The sequence below is a fragment of the Homo sapiens genome, chromosome 4 (assembly GCF_000001405.40).
Source record: "Homo sapiens chromosome 4, GRCh38.p14 Primary Assembly".
NCBI lineage: Eukaryota > Metazoa > Chordata > Mammalia > Primates > Hominidae > Homo > Homo sapiens.
The window spans coordinates 83,633,990-83,643,894 of NC_000004.12; the positions used below are offsets into that span (position 1 = coordinate 83,633,990).

At 42.4% G+C, this 9,905-nt stretch overlaps 2 annotated features.

Moving 5' to 3' along the window:
* Window positions 2,715-3,216: an enhancer, noted in NCBI's record as "H3K27ac hESC enhancer chr4:84557857-84558358 (GRCh37/hg19 assembly coordinates)". NCBI's record gives its function as "activates a minimal SCP1, AML or CMV promoter by ChIP-STARR-seq in naive H9 embryonic stem cells {active_cell/tissue: H9 hESC(naive)}" and the evidence as "EXISTENCE:reporter gene assay evidence [ECO:0000049][PMID:30033119]".
* Window positions 6,158-6,207: an enhancer, noted in NCBI's record as "active region_21689". NCBI's record gives its function as "activates an Ori minimal core promoter by ATAC-STARR-seq in GM12878 lymphoblastoid cells {active_cell/tissue: GM12878}" and the evidence as "EXISTENCE:reporter gene assay evidence [ECO:0000049][PMID:35858748]".

Genomic DNA, 9,905 nt, shown 5'->3' on the forward strand with positions numbered 1-9,905 from the left:
GGTGGCAGGTGCTTGTAGTCCCAGCTACTCTGGAGGCTGAGATGGGAGGATCCCTTGGGCTTGGAAGATAGAGGCTGCAGTGAGCCTGAGCTGTGACAGTGCCACTGCACTCCAATCAGGGCAACAGAATGAGGGCTTGTCTCAAAAAAAAAAAAAAAAAAAAAAAAGTAGAAATTCTTTTTTTAAAAAAATAGTTAATAACAATGTATTTTATTCCTTAAAGGGTTTTTAATATTTTCAATTTTTATTTTAGATATGGAGGCACATGGGCAGGTTTGTTACATGGATATATTGTGTGATGCTGAGGTTTGGGGTGCAAATGATCCCGTCATTCATACAGATAGTGAGCACAGTATCCAGTAGGTAGTTTTTAAAACCCATCCCCTCCCCCCTACTTCCCCCATTCTTCCCCTGCCCAGTAGTCTCTGGTGTCTATTGTTCTCATCTTTATGTCCACGAGTACCCCATGTATAGCTTCCACTTATAAGTGAGAACATGTGGTTTGTGTGTGTGTGTGTGTGTGTGTGTGTGTGTGTGTGTGTGTGTGGTTTTCTGAGACAGGGCCTCACTCTGCCACCCAGGCTGGAGAGTGCAGTGGTGCAATCATGGCTCACTGCAGCCTTGACCTCCCAGGTTCAAGCAATCCTCCCACCTCAGCCTCCTGAGTAGCTAGGACTATAGGTGCACACAACCACGCCTGGCTACTTTGTGTGTGTGTGTGTGTGTTTTTTTGTAGAGACAGGGTTTTGTCATGGTATCCAGGCTGATCTTGAACTCCCGGCCTCAAATGATCTGCCCACTTCAGCCTCTCAAACTGCTGGGATTACAGGCGTGAGCCACCACTCCCTGCTGGTATTTGGTTTTCTGTTCTTGTGTCACTTAGGATAATGGCTCCAGCTGCATCTGTGTTGCTGCAAAGTATTCCATGGTGTACATGTACCACATTTCCTTTATCCAATCCATCATTGATTGACACCTAGGTTGATTCCATGTCTCTGCTAATGTGAGTAGTGCTGCAATAAACATATGAGTGAGTGCCTGTGTCTTTTTTTTGGTAGAATGATTTATTTTCTTTTGGGCACATACCCAGTAATGGGATTGCTGGGTTGAATGGTAGTTCTAAATTATTTGAAAATCTCCAAACTGCTTTCCACAGTGGCTGAACGAATTTATATTCTCACCAACAGAGTATGAGCATTCTTTATTCTTTGCAGCCTTGCCAGCATCTGTTATTATTTGACTTTTTAATAATAGCCATATTGACTGGTGTGAGAAACTATTTCACTGTGGTTTAGTGAGATGGTGATTAGTGATAATGAGAATTTTTTTTTTCGTATGATTGCTGGCTGCATGGATGTCTTCTTTTGAGAAGTGCCTGTTCATGTCCTTTGCTCCTTTTTTGTGGGGTTATTTGTAGAACAGGGATTGAAATACATTGGGAGGCCAAGGTGGGTGGATCACTTGAGCCCAGGAGTTCCAGACCACCCTGGGCAATGTAGGGAGACCTTGTCTCTACACAATAAAAAATTAGCAGCCTGAACAACATAGTGAAACCTTTGTTGTGCCACGTGTTTGTAGACTAGTCCAGTAAAGCTCAGAGAAATATTTTTCCATGCGTGACATAAAATAAATAGAATCACTAAAGAAACCAATTATATTGAAATACAGTTATTTTAAAAGAGAAAATTTGTAACACGTGTGCTTCTTAGTAACATGTTAACCTCCATAGGTAGAAGAACTACTGTAATTTGAAAATAATGACGACTGTATATATTTTATGATATCTGCAGCAACTATGAAGTATTACAAAAAAAAACTACGATATTATTTGGTTGAGTAAGCAACAGGTTCTGGCCAGTACTATAATACTTGGTTCATTGCCTAAATTCTTTGTTTTGGTTTTGTTTTTTAAAGTCTAGTCGGCTGGGCGTGGTGGCTCACGCCTGTAATCCCAGCACTTTTCGGGGCTGAAGTGGGCAGATCGTTTGAGGCCAGGAGTTTGAGACCAACCTGGCCAGTGTGGTGAAACCTGTCTCTACTAAAAATACAAAAAATTAGCTGGGTGTGGTGGCTCACGCCTGTAATCCTAGCTACTCGGGAAGCTGAGGCAGGAGAACTGCTTGAACCTGGGAGGTGGAGGTTGCAGTGAGCCAAGATTGCCTGGGTGAGACAGCGAGACTCCATCTAAAAAAAGCAGAAAAAGAAATAAAGGCTAGTTAAGGGAAGCAGTGGGAGTGGAGAAGAAACAAAGAAATCTGTGACTGGTTGTAATCAATTAGTTGTAAACACCCCGTCCTGGCTGTTGCCTAAATTCCTTTTTTTTTTTTTTTTTTTTTGAGACGGAGTTTCGCTCTTCTCACCCAGGCTGGAGTGCAGTGGCGTGACGGCTCACCGCAACCTCCGCCTCCCAGGTTCAAGCGATTCTCCCGCCTCAGCCTCCTGAGTGGTTGGGATTACAGGCGCCTGCCACCACGCCCAGCTAATTTTTTGTTAGCTGGTTTCACGATGTTGGCCAGGCTGGTCTCGAACTCCACATCTCAGGTGATCCGCCCCTGCCTTGGCCTCTCAAAGTGTTGGGATTACAGGCATGAGACACTGTGCCCGGCCGTAAATGCTTAATTGAAACACATTTTAAATTTCAGTTAAGAGGTTAGTGAAAATAAAGATGTAACTTTTTTCCCCCATTTAAGTTCATGGATATCAGGCCTCTGAGCCCAGGCTAAGCCATCATATCCCCTATGACCTGCACGTATACATCCAGATGGCCTGAAGTAACTGAAGATCCACAAAAGAAGTGAAAATAGCCTTAACTGATGACATTCCACCATTGTGATTTGTTTCTGCCCCACCCTAACTGATCAATGTACTTTGTAATCTCCCCCACCCTTAAGAAGGTTCTTTGTAATTTCCCCCACCCCTAAAAATGTTCTTTGTTAATTCTCCCCACCCTTGAGAATGTACTTTGTGAGATCCACCCCCTGCCTGCAAAACATTGCTCCTAACTCCACCGCCTATCCCAAAACCTGTAAGAACTAATGATAATCCCACCACTCTTTGCTGAGTCTCTTTTCGGACTCAGCCCGCCTGCATCCAGGTGGAATAAACAGCCTTGTTGCTCACACAAAGCCTGTTTGGCGGACTCTTCACACGGACGCGGGAGACAATAGATCCTTTGAATTCCATGGTCCTTAGGCCCTAGAGAATGAATGAAGTAGGTATTATTCAATACCTATGCCAGATCAGGCAGAAATTATTACTAATTAGAGAAGAATGCCTCTTTTCCTCTCCTGATTTCCATGAGGAGGGATTACTTTCCCTTCGACACAGCTGGCTTCTATCCTTACTTGTGTTCTAACCATAAGTAAGGTTCAGGTGGGTGCACTGTTAGGCTTCGTCTGCAAGGGGCAGAGATCTGAAATGGCGGTGGATTAAACAAGGTAAAATTTATGCCCCGCTCACTTAATGTGAAGGCAGACAGTGCAGGGTGGGATAGCAATTCTGCCCCATGGCGTCTTTCTATCTGCACTGTACATGATGCCTGTCAATCTAGGTGCCCCACCTCCAGTCAAGGGTTGGTCCAGTGATCTACTCTAGGCCAATCAGATACTCTCTCTGAAACTGGCATCTGGAGTGAATTGTCCATAAGGACTGAACATGGACTGAACTCATTGCCTTTGTGGAAGGCATCTTGAAGAGAGAACCTGTTCATTATTTCCTGCTACCCAGATCCTCAAAGCAGCCATTTCTATCCTTCCTGAAGCCTGCTTCTATGCCTTTTTTCCCCTTTCCTTTCCTTTCATTTTCTTTCTTTCTTTTTTTTTTGAAACAGGGTCTCGCTGTGTTGCCCAGGCTGGAGTGTAGTGGTGCTATCTCCACTCACTGCACCCCAGACCTCCTGGGCTCAAGCCATCATCCTGCCTCAGCCTCCCAAGTAGCTGGGACCACAGGTGTGCACCACCATGCCCAGCTAATTTTTTGTTTTTGTTTTTGTAGAGATAGGCTCTTGCTATGTTACCCAAGCTGGTTTTGAACTCCTGAGCTCAAGCAATCCACCCACCTACGCCTCCAAAAGTGCTGGGATTACAGGTGTGAGTCACCACTTTTAGCCTTTTTAAAAATTTTGATTCTATGAATTACTTCTGTTACTTTCTAGTTTAAATCACCCAGAGTTAATTTTTGTTCCTTAAAGTTAAATAACCCTAACAGGTATAGAGGCAGTAAAGCGTTGTTCAATATCCCCTTTGTTGTGGGCAGTTTCCATCTTCTATGCAGATATTTCTGCACATATAGTAATCTGTGGGAAAAAAGGACTTTTTAGACAGAAGACAAGCTGGAACTTGGCTGAATAGTTAATAAAAATAGGAAAATCTGACAGAGATGACCAGGAAACAGTGAATAGAACAAGGAGAGAAAAAGACAAATGAGAGGGTGGCTAGAAATATGTTGACTGGACAAGAACCCTGTTTAGGGTTGGAGACCGGGGTAGATTTCATCTATGTATGGCCAAGAGTTTAGGAAGAACTCTGGTGGGGACAGAAATAGATCCAGAAGTTTGTAGTCAGCCTCTGTATTAGTTAGAGGAGAGGATGTGCTGGAGATGAGTTGGATACCAGTGATCCTGGGCTCTCTGACCAATATGGTTTGGGTCTGTGTCCCCACCCAAATCTCATGTTGAATTGTAATCCCCAGTGTTGGAGGGTGGGGCCTGGTGGGAAGTGAGTGAAACATGGGGGTGGATTTCCCCTGGGTGCTGTTCTCATGATAGGGAATGAGTTCTTATGAGATCTTGTTGTTGAAAAGTGTGTAGCACCTCCCAGTGTCTTCCTCCTCATCTGGCCATGTAAGACATGCTGCTTCCCCTCTGCCTTTTGCCATGATTGTAAGTTTCCTGAGACCTCCCCAGTCTTGCTTCCTATACAGCCTGCAGAGCCATGAGCAAGTGAAACCTCTTTTCTTTATAAATTACCCACTGTCAGGTATTTCTTTATAGCAATGCAAGAACAGACTAATAGACTGACTAAGGCTTTTCTACCAACCCAAAAGTGTTGGCATGTGAGACTGTTTTCTGTACCTTCCATTATTTATCAAGACATGGATTGGATCTTGATAAATAGTTGCACTTGTTTTATAGTAATTCTCTGTATTGACATACTTTTGACACTCATTTGTTTATTCATTCAATAACTTTATTGGGTGCCTACATAAATATTTATTGAGTGCTGGTTTTTGTTGTTGGTGCTAAGTACATAGTAGTACAAAATATAGTTCCTCCCTCATGGAGATAGATAACTGTGGAGGAGAGAAAAAAAAGCAATTAAGTAGAAACATATAATTACAAAATGTGTGCCAAGTGCTCAAAAGGAAAATTGCTGGCTTTGAATAGAATGTAACATGTGATGGTGTTTTACTACCAAAGGAGAGACAAGAGGGAAAAACTTTTCTTCGTAAAGAAAGTTCACAAAACTTATTATGGTAGTAGGAGCCTTGTACTTTACCCGAGAGGCCTTTTCCTTCCATTTTCATGAGCTCACCTTAAAACGTAATTCAAAGAATCTGTAAGATGTAACGTATTTTGGTTTTTACTTTATGTGTTGTAGGTTGTATCTGGAAACTGAAGGCAAGCTTTGAGGAGACTTCTTGGGCCAGTTGATGGACATTAAACCTGGTTGAGAGACAGGGACATGAACTTGTGACCTTAAGTTGTCAGTAGGGAAAAAACTTAAAAATAGTGTTAAGTTCTGTTTGCCCTTGAAGACAGGGAAGATAATCAGGTTAATTTAATGAATACATAATAGGGGTTTGCTGATCTCAGCTGTCATAGAGCATTTTTATTTGACTAAATTTCCTGAACATGTTGCTGGTTGATTTGTTATCCTGTAAGAAAAGACCAGACATCATCTTTTCATATTTGTTCAGTGTTTTGGTGATTTGACCATTCACTGAAGACCATTATGTGCATGATACTCTGAAGGCTACATTGTAACTACCAGAGTGCTTATGGAATAATCTAGAATGGAAGGATTTTGCAACCTAATAGAATCTAGGATTCTTTACGTAGGGCATGAGTGGCCTTTGAAAGAATGTCTTAGGCGCCATCTTGTGGTCAGCATTATGAATGCATTGAATTCAACTCATCCTCAACTTGCTGGAGACTGCTTACAAAGTTCATGACGGCTTTCGGGCTGTTGAGACTTGAATACATTTCTCCATAGAACCAATGTCACAAAGGGAGGTTACATTATCCTACTATGGCAAAGACCTAGTATATTAGTCAGGTCTTTTTCAGCATCAGGTGACAGAAACCTATTTCAAACTGGCTTCGGCAAGAAGGGGTTTTCTCACAGAAGAAGGAATTGCTGTAGGAACCAGGGCCTTTGGTTTTATTCCATCTTGCTTCAAGGAAGGTTGTTATCAGAAATCCAGATTTTGAATAATTTTCCACATTATGACTCAGCTAGCTACAAGCAGAAGAATCTCAAGGAAGGACCCTGGCCTGATTGGGTCTCATGCCAAGCCTTGTACCAATCATGTATTCTGGGGAATGAGACACCATGAACAGCCAGCTTGAGTTGGGTGATCATCCTCAGTGGTTGGGGGGTGGAGAAGAAGAGACAGAATATGTTACCTTAGGAAGGGAGTGGGAAGGCTTGCTGGGCAAATGAGCAAACTAAAAAGAGCAACCGCAACCTATCGCATTCTGCTACTGAGATACCAGAACACATCCATACCCTTCTCCCCATGCATGCAATTCCCAAAGTGCCTAAATGCTGTAACTTTCCTGAGTAGACACAGTACAAACTCATCTTCTTCCCAAGAGGAATTAAAGACACATTGAATTGATGTGTTCAACACCACGTCTAGGATTTCTGGATGATGTGTGTTCCTCTTAGGTTCAGAGGTAGTGTCTACTCCAGGTCCAATAATCTATTTCCATTAAGAAAAAAACTTGACCACAAAGCCAGTTATTTAATCTATTTTGGATTCACTTAACATACCTTTTAAGATTTCCAAAAGAGACAAATCCTGTAAGTGTCTTATTTTATTGAGTTAAACACTTGAAAGCTATTTATTCATTTAAATCAGTATTTTGAGTAAGTGTTTATATGAGCCCCTAATATTTGTCAGGTATCATTTTAGGTGCTAGGAGTACATCCCTCATTTCTCTGAACTTAAAGACATGAGCAAATAACTAAGCAGTAAGGGGCTGTAATTGCAGTATTAATTGCATGTATGTTCTATTTGTACCATTTTTACAGAATTGTATGTATTTTACAGGTGGTATTTATGAAAATTGAAACCATAGAAATAAGAGAATCTCACTGATACAGAGAACAGGGATAAATAGAACCTCAAAGAGTTAGAGTTATTATTAGGACCAATTTTAAGTTGGAAGATACTTGGCAACAGTTTGTCAAAAATGATGGAACCGTTTTCTTCCTTTTCCTAGTTTATGTGGACTTTTGTTCTAGCAAATTTTGGTTTGTGCATTTGAGGGCCAATTACTCATGAAGCAGAATATTTGAGTCCATTTGCTTTATTCACTAACTGGTTGTCCTACTGGCATTTCTAATTTAAAACACATTGAATGACCTCCTAAGACAAACATCTAGCTTAATGATTAGAGGGAAGGATTGGACAGTACTTCAGAGCATGAGTTTTGACATAAGTGTCACCAAGGTGGGCCGGGCACAGCGGTTCACACCTGTAATCCCAGCACTTTGGGAGGCTGAGGCGAGCAGATCACCTGAGGTCGGGAGTTTGAGACCAGCCTGACCAACATGGAGAAACCTCGTCTCTACTGAAAATACAAAATTAGCTGGGCATGGTGGTGGTGCGCCTGTAATCTCAGCTACTCGGGAGGCTGAGGCAGGAGAATCGCTTGAACCTGGGAGGCGGAGGTTGTGGTAAGTCGAGATTGCGCCATTGCACTTTAGCCTGGGCAATAAGAGCGAAACTCTGTCTCAAAAAAAAAAAGAAAAGTCACCAATGTTTACTCCTGGCTTCACTCTTATTAGCTCTGTGACCTTCAGCAAGAGTCTTAGCTTTCTTAGTTTTCTCATTTAAGTAGTGGTACTCAACTTGTACTAGTACTCAACTTGTAAGGTCATTGTGAGTGTTAAATAAATATGTCACCGTATTAGCATATAGTAAGGGCTATATACATGTTGAAAGAATAATTAGAAAAAAGTGAAGCCTTTCTTAAGTGCCTTTTAAAAGTAGGCACTACATGGCTAAAATCCATTTATTAATGCTATAGAGACTTGATTATTGTTCATATAATTGATTATTGTTTGTTCATATAATTGATTACTGCTGTCTTAATTGGGGACCAGTGTCACTCAGAAAGAGTGTTGACAGTATGGAAATTACAAAAGATGTTGTTTTTATTTACTATGTTGAATGGTGGTATGAGGGAATCACTGGACTAGCAAAACTCTCTTAAAGTTTTGACATGGGATGGAGTGTGTGGTGGTGGGGACCCTTTTTCCCACTGTTGAGGTTTTATTCTTGTGGAGGGAGCTCCACTAGTCTAGGATTTCTGGATGATGTGTGTTCCTCTTAGGCTCAGACATAGTGTCTTCTCTAGGTCCCTTCCTTGGTGTTTTTATGCCCCTTCCTTGCTCCTTTCTGGAAGATACGTCACTTATCTGACTGGTGAATGTGGAAGGAATAACTGACCAAATGGCTCAGCCTCTTCCCTTTTTCTCTTGGGAGGAGCCTGTCTTCTGGAAGCTTGCATTCCACTCTGATCATCCTTGTCATAAATGCACCAGGCAGGCCCTGTTTTTCAGAGGCTTGCCCAGTCCAGTGGTGCTTGGGATTCAAAAGATAAGCAGTGGCTGGGTGCGGTGGCCCACGCCTGTAATCTAAGCACTTTGGGAAGCTGAGGGAGATGGATTGCTTGAGCTCAGGATTTTGAGACCAGCCTCGGCAACATGGTGAAACTCCATCTCTACGAAAAATACAAAAATTAGCCAGTCTTATAACCAGGTCTCAAAAAAATAAATAAAAATTTAAAAAGACCAGCAGTTTAATTCTTGAGTGCAATGTGATCTACTTGCCTAGAGACGTAGCCTCATTTTTCAATATTAACAATGTGATATCTATTCTCCTAGCTGCCTTATTCTTTGGTCGGATTTCTTAATTGCCTCACAACATTTGTGAGAAAGATGAATGTCATTTACCAAGCCTGTTGAAATCCCAGCAGTCCTGTTAACAATGAATTGTGCACATTCTACTGGGGACTTCCTTCCTTTCCTTTCCTTCCTTTCCTTCCTTTCCTTCCCTTTCCTTCCTTCCTTCCTTCCTTCCTTCCTTCCTTCCTTCCTTCCTTCCTTCTCTCTCTTTTCTTTTCTTTTCTTTTCTTTTCTTCTTCCTTTCTGTCCTGAATCTCGCACTGTCACCTGGGCTGGAGTGCAGTGGCGCAATCTCAGCTCACTGCAACCTCTGCCTCCTGGTTCACGTGATTCTCCTGTCTCATCCTCTTGAGTAGCTGGGATTACAGGCACACACCACCACACCCTGCTAATTTTTGTATTTTTAGTAGAGACAGGGTTCACTGTGTTGGCCAGACTGGTCTCAAACTCCTGACCTCATGATCCGCCCGCCTCGGCCTCCCAAAGTGCTGGGATTACAGGTGTGAGCCACTGTGCCTGGCCAGGGACTTTCTAAGAGCCTGAGTGGAATACACTTCAGAATTATCTATTGAAGGGCAAGGGAGCTAGGGTGTCTATCCACCAACTCCTGTCCCTCACTGGCTGAGGGTTGCTTAATTCCCTGGTACTTTTAGCTTGCCCATTTTGTCGCTAGCAGAAGTCCTCGGCCAGAGAAATGCAGGTGTTTGATGCGGGAAACCAAGAATAAGATGAGAACAATCTACTGAAGCGCCAAGTAACTTTCAGTGT